The 23667-nt window shown below is 39.6% G+C and overlaps 1 long non-coding RNA gene across 2 annotated transcripts, besides 2 other annotated features; it reads left to right on the forward strand.

Moving 5' to 3' along the window:
• The first annotated feature begins 1739 nt into the window (after positions 1-1739).
• On the forward strand, positions 1740-21582 carry LOC105376002 (uncharacterized). Of its 2 annotated transcripts, none has more exons than XR_007061441.1 (3): positions 1740-1810; positions 6394-6495; positions 21537-21582. It is a non-coding gene; the product is annotated as an uncharacterized LOC105376002 (long non-coding RNA). The 2 variants fall into 2 exon arrangements; XR_001746640.2 differs by lacking the exon at positions 1740-1810 and adding an exon at positions 2851-3019.
• Positions 16517-17261: an enhancer, noted in NCBI's record as "OCT4-NANOG hESC enhancer chr9:27679142-27679886 (GRCh37/hg19 assembly coordinates)". NCBI's record gives its function as "activates a minimal SCP1, AML or CMV promoter by ChIP-STARR-seq in naive H9 embryonic stem cells {active_cell/tissue: H9 hESC(naive)}" and the evidence as "EXISTENCE:reporter gene assay evidence [ECO:0000049][PMID:30033119]".
• Positions 20564-21763: an enhancer, noted in NCBI's record as "MED14-independent group 3 enhancer chr9:27683189-27684388 (GRCh37/hg19 assembly coordinates)". NCBI's record gives its function as "activates an origin of replication core promoter dependent on BRD2, BRD4, P300/CBP and CDK7 cofactors, and independent of MED14, by STARR-seq in HCT116 cells {active_cell/tissue: HCT116}" and the evidence as "EXISTENCE:reporter gene assay evidence [ECO:0000049][PMID:35650434]".

Here is a 23667-nt window from a genome sequence, read left to right on the forward strand (position 1 = left end):
AACAAAAGATGCTGTTTTATATAAGGTAGAAAAACTTTTCATATTAGAAGTATTGAACTGAGAGTCAAAAGAAACCCAGAAATCACCCTGAATTCCCTGTCTCCCTCACCCGAAACACCCAGTGTTCTAAGTTCTGCACCTTCTTTCCAATCTACCCTTATCTCTCCAACTCACACCCGGAGTTTTACTTCAGGCCTCTATTTCCTCTTGCTTGCATGGACCTTGGAAGTCATCTAACTGCTCTCCCTGCTTCCACCACTATCACTTGGCACCACCACAATTCAACTCTATAGTTCTGTTGATGCGACCTATCTGAAACGAATCCAGTCATGTTGCTCCCTGCTTCCTGGCTTCCACTGCTTGGAAAATGAAGTCCAAGCTTCTTACTTTGCCATATCAGGGGCTCACGATCTGGCCTTTGGTCATTTCTATTTTTCCACTTTCCATCTCTGCACCCTCACCCCATGCTTGAAACAGCTCAGTATTCCCAGAAGCCACCCAGGCTGTTTTATTGTCTGTATCTTTGCTCAATCTGCTTTGATTATCCTCCCCCATCCTCCTTTCCCTTGCCATTCATCTTCTAGATTGAGCTCAGTGCTAAATCTCTGACCCTACTGGTCTTACCCACACAGAACTGACTTCTCCCTTCTCCAGGTCTTCTCTATATTCTGTATAAATTTTTGGATATAGCATTTGTCATTTTTTTTTAAAAGACAGGGTCTCATTCTGTTGTCTAGGCTGGCATGCTGTGGCATGATCATAGTCCACTGCAGCCTCTATCTGCCTCCTGGGGTCAAGCAATCCTTCTGCCTCCACCTTCTAAGTAGCTGGGACCACAGGCATGTGCCACCATGCCTGACTAATTTTTTAATTTTTTGTAGAGATGGGGTCTCACTATGTTGCCCAGGCTGGTCTTGATCGAACTCCTAGTCTCAAGCAATCCTCCAGCTTAGGTCTCCAAAAGCACTGGGATTACAGGTGTGAGCCACCATGCCCAGCCCTATGTTTATCACTTTTTGTTGCATTTGTTCACACAATCATTCTTCACCTCTAGACTTAACCTAGTTGAGATTAAAGTTGTATCTTATCTAGCAAGTCGTAATGTGTTTGGCTTTTTTTTTTTTTTTTTTTTTTTTTTTTTTTGAGGCAGAGTCTCACTCTGTTGCCAGGCCAGAGTGCAGTGATGCGATCTCGGCTCACTGCAGCCTCCATCTCCCAAGTTCAAGTGATTCCCCTGCTTCAGCCTCCCTAGTAGCTGGGACTACAAGCACACGCCACCATGCCCAGTTAATTTTTTTTTGTATTTTTAGTAGAGGCAGGGTTTTACCATGTTGGCCAGGCTAGTCTTGATCTCCTGTGCTTCATACATATTTGTAGAAAGAAGGAGGGAATGGAAAGACTTGGGACAGAGATGTAACTTGCCAGATGTAAGAACTCTGAGAAATCTGAGAAATCATATAACATCTCTGATTTTAAATTTATTCACCTGTAAGACGACAGTACCTCTTCCCAATGCACTAGAGTAAAACCCTTCATCCACAGGCTGCTAGCAACTTCTGCTTTCCTCTGTGCCCTTATTTCAGGCCCCCATCCCCCTCCTCCTCAATTCTCCAGAAGAACATGCCTTCTGATAGTTTCCAGAATGTACCAAGCTGTTTTCACTCTCCCCTGACATCACCCACTCCCGCACACACCGCCCTCGCACTTGCTGATTGCTCTGATGGGAGGTGCTACCCCAAGCTTTGCAAGGCTGCCTGCTTCTCATCAAACACCACCCCCTCAGACAGGCTTCCATTCACATCTCTCTAAAGTAGGTCTCCTCACATTATGCTTGATTTTTAAAAATTTCCTGGTCTGGTATGCTTGTTTCCTTTTCTTTATAACTCTATACCTTGTACTTATTTTATGTGTTTACTTTTTCTGGTTATCTTCCCCCCGTAATATCAACTCCAGGCGGGCAAAGATCACATTGGTCTTGTTCACTGTTTCACTCTGAGGTCCTGACATGTGTCAGGCTCTCAGTTAGTATTTGTTGACTGATTCATAAACTAATCTCAAAGGGTGGTTTTGGGGGTTAGCTCAGGTACAGTATATGAATGAAACTTATAAACTGAAGACACTATAGAAATGTGAAGCACGATTATTATAATAACCAGAACAGGCATAATGGAACCTGGAAAAATAGGTGCCAACTTTCTTTCTCTGCGAAAATGAATGTGCAGCTTGATAAGAAGTTACTCATTTTCTGAGTGTAGAATCTCAGCCTGGGTGACCAGTCCGGCAAGAAATAGACCCTCCATGCCAAGGGGAGGTGTCATTTCTTAACATGTTTTCTAGCAAGGCTGACTCAAATAATTGTGATAAAGATGGTAACACTAGGACTTTTGATATAGAAGCTATTTAGGCAGATAGTGAGGGTAAGAGAGTTCTCGGTGGAATTTCCTTTTAATAAAAAGCAGCCCCTAAATCATCTTTTTTAACAAAAAGCAGCCTGAAAAATCAAGCTGCAAACATAGATAAGCAAGCTGAAAGCTTGCATAGGTATATGCGGGCAGCTGCACTAATAGAAAAGGGACACTTGGAAGTGAGGTATGTTCAATAGGGAGAATCCATTTTCCCTTTTCTTTGTTGCCACGTGTGCAATAAAGAAGCATGCAACATGGTGCTAGCCAGGTAGAGAAGCCATCTACATAATAAAAGAGTAGGGTGGGGCAGCCAGATTCTTCGCACGCTGTGCAAACAGCACACCTGATCCAAACTATCTCTCTATGTAAATATGCCCTATGTAAATCAGATACCTTCTCCTCAAGCTCATCTATAAAAACTCCTGCACTTCGCCATGGACCGGAAGCCCCTCTCTCTCTACAGGAGAATTTCTCTCTTTCTTTTGCCTCTTAAACCTCCAAGCTTAACCTCACATTTTGTGTGTCTGCGTCCTTGATTTCCTTGGTGTGAGGCAATGAACCTCAGGTATTACCCCAGACAAGCGAAGCTGCTTCACTTTCATTGACGGATGCAGGTAGTTTGGGCTCTGGGACACAGGGGCTAGCCACAGATCTTGCCTGAAACAATTTGTGGTGTTTTAAGAGGTGATTTCATATTTCTAACATTTTCCTATGTTTCTTAATTGGAATTTATCTAAAGGAAGAACTATGTCTTCTCCCCTCTATTTATTTGCTCAATCATTTATTTATGAAAGTATAGATTCAGGAATATTTATTTACCTTATTCTATGGGTTATGACACAATGCTATCATTATTGATTTTGTTGCTCAAATTGCTTCACTTTTGGCCATTGTGAGCTCTTTCAGGTAGGCTCCTGTGCCCTTTCTGCATGTCCCCATCTTTTGTTGAGCACTTCTTTATTTTCCAGAATTATAAGATATTCCAGACTCATCTTGTATTTTCCTTGCCCCAGCCTTGGAATCAACCACCAAGGTTTGAGCAATAGGTGTGCTTGTTGCTATTAGGGTACTATTTCTCTTTCCTGTTTCCTTACTTGTAATTTCTTTCCCAAGCTCAAGAAACTTTGTCCTCACTGCCTACAATATATTTACTTATTTTGTTCAACCTTAGTATAAACATAAACTGGTTTTAGAATTTCTAACCCATACCTCCAAGAGAAGCAACTAATACTATAACTAGAGTATAGTATTAGTTCACAATTTTCTAAGTTCATGATACCTTTGTATTAAATCACACTATCTGGATGGTTATTATTATAATGATGATTTTTGGCTTTTGAGGCAAGGAAAACCTTTGCAAAAGGTATTCCCATACACAAACTGGAAGGTGCTTCATCTTCTTTATTCCATTTTCTAAGAACTACATATGTTTGGAAGGCAGGATCAGAAACACTGTACTCAATGCATAGTTTATTGTACAGGCATACCTTGGAGATACTGAGGTTATATTCCAGACCACTGCAATAAAGTGAATATTGCAATAAAGTGAGTCTCACACACGTTTTTTGATTTCCCAGTGCATATAAAAGTTATGTTTATACTGTACTATACTCTATTAAGTGTGAAATAGCATTATGCCAAAAAAGTACATACCTTAATTAAAAATACTTTATTGCTAAAAAGTGCAAACAATCATTTGAGCCTTCAATGAGTTGTAATCCTTCTGCTGGTGGAGGGTCTCGCCTTGCTGCTGATGACTGTTGACTGATCAGGGTGATGATTTCTGAAAATTGGGATGGCTGTGACAATTTCTTAAAATAATGAAGTTTGCTGATCTATTGACCTTTCCTTTCATAACATATTTCTTTGTACCATGTGATGCTATTTGATAGCAATTTATCCACAGTAGATCTTCTTCCAAAGTTGGAGTGAATCCTTTCAAATCCTGCCACTGCTTTAGCAACTAAGTTTGTGCAATAGTCCAAATACATTGTTGTCATTTCAATAATGTTCATAGCATCTTCACAAGGAGTAGATTCCATCTCAAGAAACCACTTTCTTTGCTCATTCATAAGAAGCAGCTCCTCATCAATTAAGGTTTTTATCATGAAATTACAGCAGCAATTCAGTCACATCTTCAGGCTCCAGTAAATCATGAATGTTCCTAATGGCATCTAGAATGGTGAATCTTTTTCAGAAGGTTTTCAATTTACTTTGCCCAGATCCATCAGAGAAATCACTCTCTATGGCAGCTATAGCCTTACAAAATGTGTTTCTCAAATAATATGAATTGAAAGTGAAAATTATTCCTGAACTCATGGGCTGCAGTATGAATATTGTGCTACTAGGCATGGAAACAACATTAATGTTCTTGTACATCTCCATCAGAGCTCTTGGCTGACCACGTGCATTGTCAATGAGCAGTAATATTCTGAAAAGAATCTTTCCTTTAATCAACAGATCTAATCAATGGACTTAAAATAGTCAGTAAACTGTGCTCTAAACAGATGTGCTGTCATCTAAGCTTTGTTCTTCCACTTACAGAACACAGGCAGGGTAGGTTAGCATAATATGTTTGTTTGTTTTTTGAGATGGAGGTCTTGCTGTAATGGCCAGGCTGGACTCAAACTCTCGGGCTCAAGCAATCCTTTCACCTCAGACTCCCAATTATAGGTGTGCCACACCACCTGGCTCAAGATTTAGCATAATTCTTAAGGGCCCTAGCATTTTCAGAATAATCAATGAACACTGGCTTTAACCTAAAGTTACCAGCTGCATTAGGCCCTAACAAGAGAGTCAACCTGTCCCTTAAAGCTTTGAAGCCAAGCATCGACTTCCCCTCTTTAGCTATGAAAGTCCTAGATGGTATCTTCTTCCAATGTAAGGCTATTTCATCTATACTGAAATTTCATCTATCCTGAAAATCTGTTGTTTAGTGTAGCTTCCTTCATCAGCTATCTTAGCTAGATCTTCTAGATAACTTCCTGCAGCTTCTACATCAGCACCTGCTCCTTCACCTTCATTTTTTTTTGTTATAGAGATGTCTTCTTTCCCTAAATCATATGAGCCAACCTTTGCTAGCTTCAAACTCTTCTTTTGCAGCTTCCTCACCTCTCTCAGACTTCATAGCATTGAAGAGAGTTAGGGCGTTGCTCTGGATTAAGCTTTGGCTTAAGGGAATGTTGTGGCTGGATTGACCTTCTATCCAGACCACTCAAACTTTCTCCATATCAGAAATAAGACTGTTTTGCATTTTTTAAAAAATCATTTGTGTGTTCACTGGAGTAGCATTTTTAACTTCCTTCAAGAACTTTTCCCTTGTATTCACAACTTGGCTAACTGGCACAAGAGGTCTAGCTTTCAGCCTATCTTGGCTTTTGACATGTCTTCCCAAATCAACTTACTCATTTCTAACCTTTGATTTCAAGTGAGAGACATGCAACTCTTACTTTCACTTGAAGACAAAGTCATTGTAGGGTTACTAATTGACCTAGTTTCAACATTGTTGTTTCTCAGGAAATAAGAAGGCCTGAGGAGTGGGAGAGAGTCAGGGAATGTTTGGTTGGTGGAACAGTCAGAACAAACACAATATTTATTGATTAAATGTATCCTTTTATATGGGTGGGGTTTGTGGTGTCCCAAAACAGTTACAATAATAACATCAAAGATCACTGATCACAGATCACAGTAATAGGTATAATAATAATTAAATAGTTTGAAATATTGCTAGAATTGACAAAATGTGACACAGAGACATGAAGTGAGCACATGATGTCGAAAAAATGTCCCTGAATAGAATTTCTGGATGCAGAGTTGCCACAAACATCAACTTATTAAAAATGCAGTATTCACAAAGTGCAGTAAATAAAGCACAATAAAACAAGGTATCCTTGTATATGTAATCATGCTTTACTCTTTTGGAGAGTACATAGTTGTAATTAAAAGCAGAGCTTGTGACATCACTCCTTTTTTTTTTTTTTTTTTTCAGGTCAAGAAAATTACATCCCTCCCAGAATGCGAAGATATAAACATGCTCTAAGGAGGTATGACAGCTATGCTCAAGATTCAGGTGCTCAGATAATTAGACGAGGTAAGTAGCAGAACTTTCAAAATGATGGTCGAACGAGGGCAGTTCCCATTTGTGTGTGGCATGCACACACATATGCAAACACACACATGGCCCAGGCCAATGGCTTACCTTTCCAATCAGTTTTCTTACCTACTTAACAGAAGAAATGTATTCTTATATTTTCCTCTCTGTTTTAGCTATCTAACTATTGTGAAGAAGTAACTTTGTGAATTGGTGTGTGCAGTTACCTAAAATATCTTGAGTACAGATACCCAAAATATTCTGGAATTTTCTTTTGCGATTGTCTTCAATGCTAGCTTACAAGTTATTCAAGATAATGAGTTACTTTACTTTATAGTCACCTCTTATATTTATAGAAAGTCATATTCCATTTGATCCCTCACTTTATCACCCTTGGCTCTGAATAACTTCTGGATGTTTCAAATGTGCTTCCAAAGGATAAAAATTTTCCATCCCTTAAAGAATGAACATTTGAGGATGTTAAGAATGCATTCTCGGGATGATGGCAATTCCAAAGAGGACTCCCTGTGCCCTGGACTGCTCCTCTCCCCAACACAAGATTTTGAGCAATTGCAACGTTGTTAAAATAACTAGTTGTTAAAACTCATCTCAGCTGGGTGCCATGGCTCATGCCCTTAATCCCAGCAAGGCGGACAGTGGGGGATTGCTTGAAGCCAGGAGTTTGAGACAAGCTTAGGCAACACAGAGGGACCCCATCTAAAAATAAAAAGCTTATCTGTTGTTCAAGGATACACCATTTATTTGATGGTTTATTTAGGTTACATGGTTTATTCAAACCTTGAACATCGAGGAAACCTCAGAGGGGTGAATGTACTTAAGACGCTTGATAATGTTTTTGTGAGTTGATCAAGAATTCTGTATTCTTGCTTCAGTTTTATGTTAAGAGAAATTGGAGTCTCCAAAGAATAAAGGCGTACACTTCTAGTAAAAAGCCAGTGGTGTACCAGACATGGATCTGGCTTTGCTGATTTCCTCCCCTCCAATTCTCTGTCTAAAATCCTTGCAAGACTTGATGGCAAGGCAATGATAGAAGGTTGTGGTGTCGTAGGATGCTTACTAGATTGGAATCAGAATATTCCTGGCCAGGAATCTGGGTGTCGATCAAATGTGGCAGTACCTTTAAAAGCACTTGCATAGTGCCTGGCACCCAACTGGCACTTCAATGCTGATTTTGAATTTGAAATTTAGAAGTTAAAGCTATAAAAGTGAAGGCCTACTGAATTTTATATACACAGCTTAATAATGGGATAAGAATGCATGCTATAAGAGGTCAGGCTTTTAATAACCCAATACAGTGAATCTCTTAATTCTCAATAAAAAGAGTGTAAAAAAGATGAAAGAATCTAGCCTATAATTATTCTGCCAGGTCATGAGGTATAAGCAGGTAATTTTAGAATGTTCTATAACTGTACTTTATAGATTGCATTAAGTCGGGGTAGTAATTTTTTAGGTTTCGTGTGGCAGGGTTTATTTCTGAATATAGAAATGTTCAATTCATCATGCAAAAATTTTTACATAGGTAGACCTCTTCACTATCCCAAGTTTATTTTATTTCCATCTACGCACACTCATTCAAAACATGCATGCAATGTATGTAGGCATGCATGCACACATGCACACACTCACACACACACTCCTCAGTACATGAAAATTAAAGCTAAGTAGTCATAATTGGTCACCTTTTGCCTTATAATTTGGATTTTAGGAAAAATAACCCTCTCCTATTTTCCTCCTTTTGAGAAAACTGTAGAGAAATATATTAGCATTCTCAAATGTATTGGCCTCATGTATTTTCTTTCTTCCCTTGCATGTAAACCTTGTAGTCTTGCCAAGGTTTTCTAATATTTGCATGTCAAACACAGATTACAAGCCCCCTGGGCTGGATTCACACTGGCCTCTTGGCTTTTTACAAAACGTTGCATAGCCTTGTCACTAGCTTGATGTTAAAGCAAATAATGCTAGCATCCTTAGTAAGGCCTTTGCCCTGAAAACTGAGAAAATCCGACCACAATAAACATGCTGAGAATAAAATCAGTCTCTGCTATAATTATTAGGCCAGAGACAGGTAAGCACAATTATTTCTGTACTGAAAAAAAACAGGTGGGTAGTAGCTGGCTCTGCACTGAGGGGGCAAAATGCTTGAAGTCCAGGGATGTTCAATCTATAAGCTCATATGTGTCCAACACCCACTTATTCCCTCCAATACATTTTCCCCTTGATGCTATGCCTTCTTTTTGTTTTTAAAAGCAGTCTTAAATTGGTTACCATTTTTTTCCCTTCTCATACTTCTTCCTGTGCTTATAGGCAAGGGACAGTAAATTAAGCATATCTAAGGATTTAATGCTCAAAATCACCTTGGATAATTGGCTTATGGGGTTGAGGCATGCTTTTCCCTCAGTCTCCTAGTATTAATGCTATTTCTCCTCAGAGGGTACATCTGTCAATAATTGATGAAGCCTTCTTGGGTAAATGAGCTGTTTCTTGGGACATTATAAATCATATTTGGAATCAAGTTTATTTTCAAGCTGCTTTTGAAGTCTCGATGCTGTGCTAACTGAACAGAAAATGTTAAATGTTTGAGGGAGTAGTGCAAGCTCTCAAATGCTAACGGCATGAGCTGGACTTAAAAAAACAAATGGGATTTATACCCTCTGAGGCAACAAGAACACATCTGGTTTGTCAGCAAAGCATATGTAAGTTTGGCAAGGGTCTTCCAGAAGGAAATTGCCTGAGTATCTACTGCGTGCTGAGCACTGCGATTCACGATTCACTTGGGGCATCTGAGTTAATCTTCAGAACAAACTCATCTGGCAGGTGTTACTACAATTTCTACAGATGAGGGAACTGAGGCTCAGAAATGTTGATAACCTCTTCAATGCACTCAGAGAGCAAGTGGTAGATTTGAAATTGGAATCAGTTGGATTGTGAAGTCTTCAGTATTCTCGCTTCACCAGAAGTCAGACATGCTCTATGACGAGGTCTTCATTCTGTGTTCAGTGGTGTCCTGGTGATCTCTGTGTATTTGGTGTTAAGATTGAGGCCAACAGTCTCTTATGTTCAGTGGTGTTCTGGTGATCTCTATGTATTTGGTATTGAGATTGAGGCCAACAGTCCCTTATCAGCAAACCTCTTCTGGGTCTCTCAGCTTTGTTCCAATTCCAGTACAGATACACTTTTATCTGTTTTATATAGAGAGGTTTGGCATGATCTTTTTTTTTTTTTTTTTTATGTTTTAGACAGCATTTCACTCTGTTACCCAGGCTGGAGTACAGTGGTGCAATCTCGGCTCGCTGCAACCTCTGTCTCCTGAGTTCAAGCAATTCTCCTGCCTCAGCCACCTAAGTGGCTGGGATTACAGAGGTGTGCCACCATGCCTGGCTAATTTCTGTATTTTTAGTAGAGACAGGGTTTGACCTTGTAGGCCAGGCTGGTCTTGAATTCCTGGCCTCAAGTGATCCACCTGCCTCAGACTTCCAAAGGGCTGGGATTACAGGCGTGAGTCACCGCGCCTGGCCTGGCATGAGATTTTGATAATAAAATTTTGCTGCTAAAAGAAACATGTAAACCACAGCTGGGTGAGAATAATAATAATAAACTATCTTATAAAATAAGGCTATTAGCATATGTAAGAACATGACTGATATGTAAAAAATTGGGAAATATTTTCTCCTTTTGATTCAAAAGACATACTCAAAGAACATTCTAGAATTACTCTACTCTAAGCATTGCTGCAGGGTGAGTGCTGAGCTCAGAGTCAGAGCTCTAGGTTTTCACTTTTGCTCAGACATTATCTTACTGTGTGCTGTTACTTCCCTTTCCTCACTTTGCACATTAATAGGCTGGAGATGAGAGTACTCGCTCTAACAACCTCAGATCCTTATTGTGATCACTAAAGGAGACGAAAGATTTAAAAACTAGTTTGAAAAAGAAAGAACATGCCTAACATAGAAGATATCACTACGATTAATACTGCATTTTCTATTTTTTAGGAGGTTGAAAAATCACTGTAATTTTTCTGAACATTATAGTTCAGATTTCAAAGACAAAATGTTAAGAGTGGAGGGTATTTTGGCATGGGACAGATGGGGACATAAAAGGCATAAAACCATTTTTAAAAGCTCATTCAGAATAATTATTTTAGAGATAATGGCTTATTAAGTTCATAATATCAGCCCTTGAGTTCTAGTTATTCACAATATTGGCTGCTGCTCATTTTTGAACTTTCTAATGAAAAGATAGACTATGAATCACTTTGCCTCATTTTTTTTCAATCTCTCCTAATTGTCAGGGCAAATATACACTAGATTTGAAAGAATGAAATTGCTGACATGAGACCAAAATTACTGTTTGACTCATGCCGATTGAGATAAGGAGGAATTGTTTCCTGAATGCTTCTCTGCCCATTATTCCTTCTTCCTTCCCCTCCTTTACACCTACTTTTCTTTCCTCTCTTCCAGCAGACATTTGTTAAACACTAATATAGGCACACATGAATTGAATACAGTGTCTGCTTCAAAGCTTCTCAGTCCAGCATCTAAATAAATACACACTTCACTGTGATGTAAACTATGCCAGAAGCCTATCTTCACCTTACTAACACCATCACAAACAGCATGGGAGCCCAGAGAATGGAATGCCCAATTATTCCTGGGGAAGTCCAGAAAAGTGAATATTTAGCAACTAACAGCTTGGGCGATTTCCTCTCTACATTCCAGCTTCTTTATTTCTAATCAGTTCCAGTTCAACGCACTTGAAATCTACTCATGCTCTTGAGCCTTGTGAGTACAAGGATGTTCCTCTGATGAAATCCTGAGAACTTTGTCTATCTCTTGCTCTCTTGATCCCTCTTTCTAGCTACATCTGTTTTTTTTTTAACCTCTCGAAGACCCCAAATCTGTAGATATCTACCTCCCTGATACTCTTTCTTTCCTTTTTTCCTCTATATTCTTCCTCCTCTATACCTCTTCTTCTTTCATCTCTCTCATGCACTCTCTCTCCCTGCCCTCCTTTGGCAAAGTTAGGGACAAGAAGGTTGGATTTGTTATGGGACACCTGAGGAGAATGTATGGGGAAAGTTTAAAAGAAAACAAAATTGAGAACCAATGGTTTAACTTCCCCCCTCCTTTACTGAATCCTCTCTGGATTTTCCATAATGTTCTCAAATTCGATTTTCAGTTACTTCTGGCACTGACAGGAGGAGCAAATAGTTTCTAAGTAGTATCTAAGGGGGCAAGCCCTTCTTCCAGGTAAGTTTGCAGTTGATAGTGCTAGTATGGATTGTGTAATTAATGTCACTTGGCACAACCAGACCTACTTAAGAATTTTGTTTTTTGGAGGCATTCTGTCTCTCGGTCATTACAGGGCAATAGCTCCAACAAGCACTTTGCCCTGAAGCAGAGGCAAGATCTGCAGCACCCTTAAGTGTAAGGGCTGTTCACGATGAATTCAAATAAGAATTAAATTACAGAGAAAGATTGAAAGGAAAATTGCAGGTGATTCTGTCAGCCTACTTTCTATCCAGCCAGCTACCTAATCATGTCTCCTTTTCCCTGTTGGGCTATTTTTTTTTTTTTTTTTTTTTGTCCTTCTTGAATTCAGGTGGTGGGCTCACACTGTCATAGCAGGTTCAGATCAGCAGGAACATGTCTGAAGGTTTCAGAGTTATCTCCTGGCAGTCTACAGAGGCACACAAAGCACGCAGTCTTTGGAGACAGGCTGCTTTGGCTCAAATTCTAGTTCTACTCCCTATTTTCTGTGTGAGCTTGCATAAGTGACTAAGCTCTGTAAATGTGTAAGACAGGACAAATAAAATTATCTTTGTTCCAGGGTTGTGTGAGGATTAAGTGGAGTAACAATTAGCTCTGTCTATTCATGATGACAGTGCCTTGTATTTATTGAACACTGAAATTTTACTATGTATAAGATACCTACAGAAACCAGTAAGAACATTTAGGACACTGAATGAGGATAAAACTTCCCCTGATTCTTCTACAGTTATATTACCGGAAGGAGGGCCTTGAGTGTAAATGTCCAGGTCCTTGGCGTTTTGAACAAAGAACCGGACAAAACGCACAAAGTAACAAAGGAACAAAACACAGGAAGGGAGCAGCAAAAGCAGGACTTTATTAAAGCAAGAAAGCACTCCACGGGGTGGAAGTGGGCCGGAGCAAGAGGCTAAAGGGCCCGGTTACAAGGTTTTCTGGGTTTTAAGTACTTTTTTTGAGGACTCTATTGGTTACCTGTTATCTGAAATGAAGGATTTGGTCTTTGGCTAATTATAAGGCTGAGGTGAATTGGCGCTCTATGCACACGAAGGGATGGTCCTTGCTAGGCCTACGGTCAATCCGAGGCAATCTCCCTTTCCATCTGAGATGTGGTGGAATGGGGAGGGCTATAGGGAGAGTAGCCTTTGATCCTTTGTTACTTGGCCTGGGGCGATGGGGTTTTTCCTCTGGGTTTAGCTTTAGGAAGTTTGCGTTAATTGGCCTTAGGTTCCCTGCCCCTAGACCCAGGTGTTTTCCTTTTGATCCAGCTTTGGGAAGTCAGCAGGAATTGGCCTCAGATTCCCCAATCCCAGACCTTGGTGTTTTCTATTTTAGGAAGTCAGCACAAATTGGCCTCAGATTCCCTGCGCCTAGGAAATCAAGGTGTTTTTCTTTGATTCAGCATGAATTGGTCTTAAGTGCCCTACCTCCAGACCTTATTCTCCTGCCTCAGTTAGGCAACCCCACTTTGGTGTTTGTCCAGGTAAATTTAAATAACTTTTTTTAGTATTTGTTTTTCTTAGAATATCACTAGGCAATCACGCTAGCTGACACTGAGTCAGACCCTGAGATGACTGTTTTACCTTCAACAGCTCATTTAATTCTCCCCAAAATTTTGCAAGGTAGGTGAAAATAATTTCATAACAAAGATGGGACTGAGAGGTGAAGCCGGCTGGGCTTCTGGGTTGAGTGGGGACTTGGAGAACTTTTCTGTCTAGCTAGAGGATTGTAAACACACCAGTCAGCGCTCTGGGTCTAGCTAAAGGTTTGTAAATGCACCAGTTCGCACTCTGTAAAAACGCACCAATCGGCACTCTGTGTCTAGCTAAAAGTTTGTAAATGCACCAATCAGCACTCTGTAAAATGGAGCAATCGGCTCTCTGTAAAATGGACCAATCAGCAGGATATGGGTGTGGCCCAATAAGGGAATAAAAACTGGCCACCCGAGCTAGCAGCGGAACCCACGAGGGTCCCCTTCCACGCTGTGGAAACTTTGTTCTTTCACTCTCCACGATAAATCTTGCTGCTGCTCACTCTTTGGGTCTGCACTACCTTTATGAGCTCTGTAACACTCACTGTGAAGGTCTGCGGCTTCACTGCTTAAGTCAGCGAGACCACGAACCCACTGGGAGAAACAAACAACTCCAGAGGCGCCACCTTTGAGAGCTGTAACACTCACTGCAAAGGTCTGTGGCTTCACTCCTGAGGTCAAGCGAGACCACGAACCCACTGGAAGGAAGAAACTCTGGACACATCTGAACATCTGAAGGAACAAACTCCGGACACACCATCTTTAAGAACTGTAACACTCACCAGGAGGGTCCGCGGCTTCATTCTTGAAGTCAGCGAGACCAAGAACCCACTGCAAGGAACCAATTCCAGACACGGGACTAGTGAGGCTTAGAAATGTTAGGTAGTTTGTCTGTGATTTATACTTAGGCCTGTCTGCTGCTAAAACCTTTGCTTACCTACCACACTATGGTTTTGATCAGCCAGTTATTATCACTAGATAGCTCATCTTTTCTGAAATTGCCTGGCACTTCCATAGTGGATTTTGAAATGTTCCTTTTCTAGCCTTTGGGTACTTATTCAAAATTCTGACTGTTCACTTATTTTTCTGCATACTCAGGGATTTTATCCTCCTGGCTCTTTTGCCCATGGGGAGAGCCCTTTGCAGATCTAAACCTATTTATTCTCTAAGATCTAGGTCAGAACCTATCTTGTTTAAGAAACATCTCCCTAGTTAATATGTGTATACTCTCGTTAGTGCCACAGTAATCTCGCACTCTGTAAATTCTTATTTTTGCATTTTGAAGCAATATAACATGATACAGCAGTTAGTCATTTTTATATTGAACTAATCACAGTAAGAGCACTTACTGAACATTTGCTTGGTGCTAAACTCTTTACAAAAATTCTTTCACTTAATCTCATGAGAACTCTGCTAGTTTAGTATACCTGTTATGCTCCTAATTTTATAGAAGAGAAAATTGGGATTTGGAGAAAGTCAGTGACATGCCTAAAGCTACAAATATGATGAAGCCAGGATTCAAATGGTCTCACCATGGAGCCCAATCTCCTACTCATTATTTTTTTGCCATCCACTTTAGTCCTGTGTTCTCAAATGCAATGCAAGGTAGCCCCTAGAGTTAATCATGTCCTAATTACCAAGGCACTCAGTGAGGAAAGGTTCATGGATCAGTGGATGTTTTTCGAGTCCCTATAAGGTGTGTGGGATAGAGGATGGTATAAACAGAGGTCAATTCTAATTCTCACCTAATGCTCTGGACACAGGCACACCAAACTACCTCAGTCCACTTACAGCACTTCTAGGAATCCTCACCTGTCGAATGTGTGATGAGGAGCTATTGACTTCTAATAGAGACAGGGAGAAAATCAATGGATGGGTGTCCAATATCTTGAATTGATGATATTAAGGGCTCCACTACTCCATTTCTGGCAGTCAGTTGGATCCATTGATCTCATTTACCTTAACTACTTTTGAGAAAAGAGGTTTTTTAGCTTCTTCCATGTCTGAAGAGACATGCATGAAGAAAATGTAATTTTCTTGAAAATATGAAGTTGTGTATGAAAGAGAAGATCATTAGCTATGAGGATGAGAAGATAAGGGAGATTACAATGTAACGTGGTTCTCTGCATGCAAAGTCAACATAATCAAGCCATAACTTGAGTGTTTACTCTATGTCAGGCATTACTCTAAGAAGCTTTCATATATTTAGCTCATATAATCCTCACAACAACCCTATGAGGTTGCAATAGTTGTCTTCAGATTATCATAGATGTATCAACAGTCATGAGAGACTGAAGAATGTGTCTGTGTTCATGTAGGGCCAAGAGTCACCATTTAGTTTTTCTGACACAAGAGGCCAAATTCTAACTCGTTTGCTGTACTGTCTCTAGTGGGCTGGAGAAGATGGCAGATAACTTCTCCTTACAAATTTTGAAGGCAAAATTTGGAAAGGAAGGAAGGAACAGAGAAATAAATGACCTACCTAACGTGCGCTGGGCTCTATACATTGTGAAGGCATTATATATATCTACAACTTTTAGGGTGAGAATTATTTATTCATTTTACAGATGAGCTTCAGAGGTTAAGTGACTTCCTCAATGCCACTTTGTTGGCAAATGGAGGACTCAGCTTTGAATCATCCTTTGCTTTGTATGCTATGCTGAGAAGTTTAAATAGGAGACCCTTCCTGCTTCATAAGATACCTGTAATTCATGGCAACATTTAAATTCTTTGCTTTTTTCCAGTTGACGAACAGCTTATATCCTAGCACCCTGTTTTTGTAGGCTTAATTAACAAAGTGTATATGCTACAAAAAAGATTTAATGAAAATCTGCGTGATGTGGCAGGATAAGAGGTCACTCACTGGATCAAGGTTGAAGGGTGATGCTTTTCAGAGTTTTAACTTCTTTATTACCTTGCTCTATGGAGAAGGGAGAAAGCTACTTTTTCTTCCTGGGGTTTAGTCTCTGTAATGGAAGACTTGGATGAGATGGTGTCAGTGTCCCTTACAATTCTACAACTCTGTGATTGTGTCAGGGCTGAACTGCATAGAGTCCAAGCTTTGGAAAGATCCCGGAGAGTATCAGTGCCATCTCCCAATCCTTCTACAGCTTTGCAGACCTAATCCAGGCCTTTATGTCTCTTGCCTGGATTCTTACCTCTGTCTCTTATTTTGCTTTTAGATGTCAACTTGGCTCAATACCCAAAACAAGCAGCGCATTTGAAACATTCTTGTATAACACAAGTCTAAGTAACCCATTGAAAAAATGTTGAACTCTCATGAAGTGCCTTACTTAACTAGTTTAACGACCTCTCATGGGAACATGTAGAAATATCACAAATATAAGATCTGTGTCCAGATATTTAGTAATGATACATCCATACCTAAACACAGTTTTGACCAGGTCACTCCCCTGCCTAAAATCCTGTAATGGCTTTATTGAGCTCATAGGATCACATCTAAGCTCTCTCCTTGTTTTTTTTTTTTTTTTTTTTTTTTTTTGCCTTTTCCTTTGTGCCCAGAATTTCTTGAATACATCATGCTGTTTCTTGCCTTTGTGCCTTTTGTCTTCTGCCTAGCATGACTAGCGTAGTTCCTAGATTGTTTCTTTTAATCTATTATAGCTCAACTCTTTTCTTAGTAGATATCTGCCTTGTTTTCCAGGCAATACCATTGCCTCTGTTTGCATTGTCATTACTTATTTTACCTGTGTCTCCCACCAAACTTGGAGTCTATTAAAGGAGCAAGATCTGTGCCTCACTCATCTTTGTATCCCCAGTAACGTGCATGGTCTCTGGTGCACAGTGGATGCTTAATTAATGTTTGTTGAATGAATGAATATGTTGATCCCTCAGTGATGAAGAAATGCTGGCATCTAATTTCTAAGACAGCCTTCCTTACATGTAGCTGAAGTTTCCTACGCTTTTGGCCCAAATTCTGGCCACTGAAATAATTCAGAATAATTTTTCTTCTTCTGGCACAATAGCATTTGAAGTAGTTGAATTTAGTTAAATCCTCCTTTTGCTAGGTCAAAGATCCCCAATTCTTCCACTTGTCTTCTTGTAAATACCCTATGTATCTCATTACTATCTTGGCTGGCCTCCTTTACTTGTGTTCTAGGTGACACCTGTGTTTCTTAAAACAAGATGCCAAGATCAGAGCTAAAAGCTCCAGATATTGTTTTAAGTGGCAGGCAGCCCAGGGGAGCAACCCTTTCTTTTGTCCTGTAAGCCAAACCTAAAAGTTATTTAAAAGTTAACATAAGGTAGCAACTGACTTTGGTAATATAATACATATGATGAAATATACATATAATAAAAATATATTAATATTTTAAAATATAATAAAATGATAATTATGACAAAAATAAAAGCTATTGGTGCTTTATCTTATTAATCTTTTATAATAACACCAGAGGGCAAGTATTATTATCTTATTATCTCCCCTTTACAGATGAGGAAACTCAGAGTGGATAGAGGTTATCTTACTTTTTAAAAACCATAATAAGAAATTCTGAGTGGCAGAGACATGACGGGGTCCTTGACTGACTGTAGATTTGTTTAGCACAGGTCTCATATTTTAAACCATCACACTATAAATGGATGCCTCATGAGACTTCCATGAGCTTTCTGAAACTAAGTGCAAAATGCTGTATAAAAATATGTGTTTCTAAGGTGAATGTACTCAATTTTTATCATGTTCCCAAAGGAATGTTTTCCCAAAGAGGTTAAGAATCACTGTATTAAAGGTAGACTGACATTGAGCTTGTAGCCAGTTCAAACAAGGAGTTCATTTTCCTATACATTGCTCTTAAATTTCTTCCCTCAAGTTGCATAACTGGTTTTCTGAACCTACATTTGGCATAGTAATACACTTAGCTCTATTGAATTTAATCTTACCAGTTTCTTCTCTTTCAAGGCCATTTCTTTTTATCGCACCTCTGTTATTTAACATATTTGCTATTTCCTCAAATAATTTGATCGGCATTCTCTCTTGATTTGTATCTAAATCATTGCTCAATGTGAGGGCTGACCCAGGGGAGGGTAATGGCTGTTGAAAATGGTTTGCAGAGCCTGTGTCTCCTTTGCATTTGTTTTTCTCCTCAGGTTGCTTGGGGTTTCTCTGGGAGTAGACAGAGGCAATCCTCCACATATTAACAACTAAATAATCTGCTGTTTTTAACCAGTGGCAGCCTTTCTGAGTCTCTGGGTCCAGATTTCTGAGAGTCTACTCGTTGTGCCCTTTATATGATGCTCTGTCTCACAGGATGGAATTTGATGTCAGCATTCTTTTTTTTTTTGAGACAGGATCTCGTTCTGTCATCCAGGCTAGAGTGCAGTGCTGCAATCATATCTCACAGCTGCCTCAAACTCCTGGGCTCAAATAATCCTCCCACCTCAGCCTCCCAAGTAGCTGGGACTATAGGCATGTACCGCCATACCACATCCTAGATGTGGTTAAAAAAAAATTTTTTTTTTTTTTTGTAGAGATGAGATCTTGCTATGTTTTGGCATTCTTTATTAAACACGTTAGAGTTCCATAGGTCCTTTCTTCCATCAAGGTCTTTTAGTTAATTTTTTTCTCCTTGTAACTCTTTTGAAGCACATCTCATCTCCTGAATTACCCTTTGTGCTACCCCCAGTGAGTGCTTTATTTTTATTATTTTGAGACAAGGTCGCGCTCTGTCACACAGGTGCTGGAGTGCAGTGGTGCAATCACAGCTCACTGGAAGCTCCATCTCTTGGGCTCAAATGATTTTCCCACCTAAGCTCCAGAATAGCTGGAACTACAGGCATGCACTACCGTGTCTGGCTAATTTTTTGTACTTTTTGTAGAGATGGGGTTTCACCATGTTGCCCAGGCTGATCATGAACTCCTGTGCTCAAGCAATCCTTCCACCTCGGCCTCCCAAAATGCTGGGATTACAAGTGTGAGCCACCGCACCTAGTGAGTGCTTTCTGAGAAACCAGGCCCATGTCTAGTATCAGATCACAGAAATGAGACCTACCCCAATTTATTTATTCCTAGTCTTCAAGTTATTTCAAAGGCAAATAACTCTGATATTAAGTGTAGCACAGGTACAAGTCTTTCTTCCTGTTTATTTTCCAACAGATTTGCAGTATGGGCTACATCTAGTGACATTAAGGACCTCTTCAATAATACACATTTCCAATTTCTGAGGAAAAACTAATTATCAAACAGCTTTAGAGTTTTCTGCAACTTTATACTAATCTCTTATTGCCTCTGTGATCAGTAATAATCTATGTATTTGCATTTTTAAAAATCTTTTAGGTCTCCTACCTACATTTCATCATTTCTGACTTTTCTCTTTGGTAACAACAAATGGTATTTTATTCTATATTCATGATTTATAGTTTTTATTTTACATAATTGTTTCAAAATGATTATTTCTCATCAAAGGCTCTATCTACTGATTTATTCTGATTCCTCCATTAAATCTCTCCCTTTATCTAGTAGCATTTTGAACTACTTTTTCCAGTTCCATGAGAATCATGTCATATTTTTGTCATTACTTAGAAACATACATAAGTATTGGCTCATGTTTCCCTTTAACTTTAATAGCCTTCAGTGTCAACCCCAACTTCAAAAACACTGAAGTGCTAAGGTGACTCCATAGCAACCACCAATTTGCTTATCCCTTTCTAAGTTCAATGACACCTGGCACCTTGGCCTTTATGCCGGAGAATTATAGGGAAGATGTTTTAAGTGTTACTGTTTCCATTTTTTTTAAGTTTTTTATTACACAGTGGAAAAAAAAAACTAGGCTTGGGTTTGAGTCTCAGTTGGATCACTTACTAGTTTTGTTGCTGTGGGCACCTCACTGTACTTCTAAAGCTCTCAATATTCCCACATTTAAAATGGGGTAGTGATGCCTACCATACCACAACACAGGGACTGTCATCAGGAATGAGGGAGACGAATATGTAAACACTTTCTCAGTCTCACAGTACTCTGTAAAATAGAAGGTACTGTGTGTTTGGGGGAAGTAGAGATAATAATTCTATACTCTGGTCGTTCGCAATCATTCTTAATATTTCTTTTAATTTCTGTAATTAAAGGTTCTTGAATTCCTATTCTGGCTCATTTCAGTGCCATGTTCCATTTAATCTTCTCAGTCTCCCTCACTGAGCAGTCAGGAGCTTGTCCCTATTTGAAGCTTCAGCTAGCATTTTGCTAGTGCCTAAGCCAGTCTGTACTCCAGCCCTGCCCAGGCCCTCTTGGTGGACAGAATCCTAGATGTGGTAAATAGCATGTCTTAGCCTTGATTCTCGCCTCTCCTTGCATCCACTCTTTGCCTTGACTCTGGCTTTAAGCTCCGTAACTTGCTTTGGCCTCTAGGATATTAACGGATGTGATAGAAGCAGAGCCTTGAAAACTGTTTGTGACAGGGCCTGCTCTATCACTCTCATGCCTTTGTTAATGCCAGTGTGAACATGCCCAGGCTAGACTGCTGGTCCCAGGAGGAATAGTGACACATGGACCAAAGCAGAGTATCCTGTCACCCTAGTCGAGATCAATGTAGATTAGCCACACCCAGCAGACCCCAGATATGTAAGCAATCGCTGTCAACATCAGCAGAGCCACCTTGCTGACGCCCAGCTGGTCCCCAATATGTAAGCGTAATAATTTATCGTTGTATGGCTCTGAAACTGTAGGGTTGTTTGTTACATATTTTAATTGTAGCAATAGATAAACTAGATGTCATAACTCTCTGAGTTCCTGGCTTTAAGAACAGTAGTCTCAGAGATTAAGATCCTGAAAAGTACTATAATGGGCAAAACAGAAGTGTCGTAATTCACAGAGGTCCAGAGAAATAAAAACTAAAATGCTATTAAATATATTTTAAAATCAGATTCTTCAGCATGAAACGTCTCTCTGGTGGGCAACCCATCTCTTGAATCACCTTCAATGATTAAGGAGAAATGACCGTGGCATTGTGATTTGCTGAGACAGGTGCTCATATAAGTGCTATGCTATTCAGAAGGCACCACTTTTTAAAGTTTTATACTGAGCTTCTTAGCCTAAAATTGAATATCTTTTTTACTTCCATTTCCCTTCCTTTTATTTTCAGCAAATGCCAGAAAAATGGTAGCATCATCGCTGGCCTCTTCACCAATTACCACAACACTTAAGTACACATTTTCCAGATATGTTTTCCGGTCTGTCTATTGATAAATTACACATGTTTGATTTCTCTATCCAGTCCCAGTTGACCCACTTGTGGTATACAAAAGAGAAATACATTATTGATGGTGGAAAAAAATGTGAAGTATTGATACTCACCTACTTCTACTGACTTTTCATCGCATAACCCTGGCCCATTATGTAAGAAGACATGTGAGGATGATATTCCACATCAGGAGATTTGGGATGGAGTACATAGCACAATGGAGCTTGACAAGAGGACAGAGAAATGAATGTCAAATTCCTGACCTTTAAAATTAAAAGTTTCTATTAATCTTTCCATAATCTGTCTTCTCTGTTCTTCCCTCACTAGATAAAGATGCTCCCAGCTGAAGAGAGGGAAAAAATTTGGAAACATAAAGAGAAATAGACACTGGTTTTAGGGATAAGCCCCTTTTTGGGTCAATAAGTAATGAGCCAAGTGATAGGCAAAGAGACTATTAGACCCTCAGATAAGTGTAAGTATAGAGGAAACAGTGCTATAGAAGATATTGATATAGCACACTAACATTCAAGCCTTGCTCTTCCTCTGGGCATATGAGACATTGTACTTCTCCTTGAAGATAGGTATGAACTTGTGAATTGCTTTGGCCACTAAATTGTAAATGAAAGTGACTTGGCTCATTTCTATGTCCAAGCATCTAATTACTGGAGCTAGACTTTCCAGCCTGCTGCTTCTTCTTACATCAAGACAGAGGTCATGGAGAGTTCTCTGGAATTGTAGTGGATTTTATATGAGTGAGGAATAAAATTTTGTTGATCTTTTGGGTATTGTTTATTACTGTAGCATAACTTCCCCTATCTGTGTTCTGTTTCCCATCTGGGTGGCTGGAAGGGAGAGACACACAAAGATCTCAGGCCACTCAGCATGGGGTAGTAGAGCTGAAATTACTGCACTGGTGTCAAAGAGAGGGCTTGTTCACAGATCCTAATTGTTCTATTGCCCCAAGAAGAAGGGTAGCAACTACCACATGTCCCTAATAAAAGTAAACTTTTCAGCAGATGCAGAAATCTGGATTTCCAAAGTGTTCTCAAGGTCATGACAAGGGGATGCAACCACGAGTGGTGGTGTGAACCATTCAATCTGAGACCCAGATGAGTTCTGGGATTTGGCCACTTTCAGTGGAAGCCCATTTGGGGGTTAACACTAAGTATAAGATGTTATGATTGCATATATCAGGAGTTGTCAACTCTGGACAACCACAGAGACACTTTCTCATATATACTACATCACTGTGTAAGCACTTGAGTTAGAATTAACTGCAGAGAGAAGGGAGAAAGGGGAAAGTTCACAATCTGATTCAGTGTAATGCTGAAACAAGAAATTACTGAAGTGGTTGGGTTTACTTGGAAGTGACCAGATCAATTGTCTATCAGGAAATATGAAGGGCTTGAGATAGAAATCAACTTCAGTTATTAAGAAAAAGCTCTAGTTTTGAACATCTGAAGTTGTGGTATGAAAATCAGGCATACTTCATATTTTTGTAAGAGGATTGAACAGAACAGAATTTTAAAAGAGTGGGATCTAATGATTTTACATAGAAACACAAAGCCATGCTATTTCACAACTTGGTGTGGTTGGCATTGGTGAGGAATTGTTGTATTACTTCACCTGGTTAGAAGCCTGCTGGGCCTCTTGAGAACATAGACCTGTCTGTTACCATTGGCATGGGATTATGCCTACCCAGCTGCTCTCATATGGTCAGCCTCTGTGGCTCAAACCCTTAACCCCTGGCTTATTGTGGCAGGTGGGTCTCTAGCCAGGTGCTGGCTTCTTCAGAGATAGGACACTTTGTCAAGTGATCAACCTGCCCAATGAATATTAGTGTTCAGTGACCCATAACACTGGGCACTAGTGTTGGGTGTGACAGATTATTTTTTCTTGGTTAGCACTTCTTTGTTGACTTACCTTGAAAATAAAAGTATTTTAAAATATGCACATGAGATTAAGATATCCACAAAGTTACAATGTACTCATTTATATCGTGCTACATATTTGATAAGCACTCATTAGAAAAATAAAATTAAGTTGCAAATGCTCTTAGATTAACTAGTTAAAATAATCCTTCAAATGCTGAGAATGTGGCAAAAGAGAAATATAGTATGCCTTGAGTGATGTAGGAATTTCAAAAGAAGTTGAAATGTGAGCA

This window comes from Homo sapiens, chromosome 9, assembly GCF_000001405.40.
Source record: "Homo sapiens chromosome 9, GRCh38.p14 Primary Assembly".
Classification (NCBI taxonomy): Eukaryota; Metazoa; Chordata; class Mammalia; order Primates; family Hominidae; genus Homo; species Homo sapiens.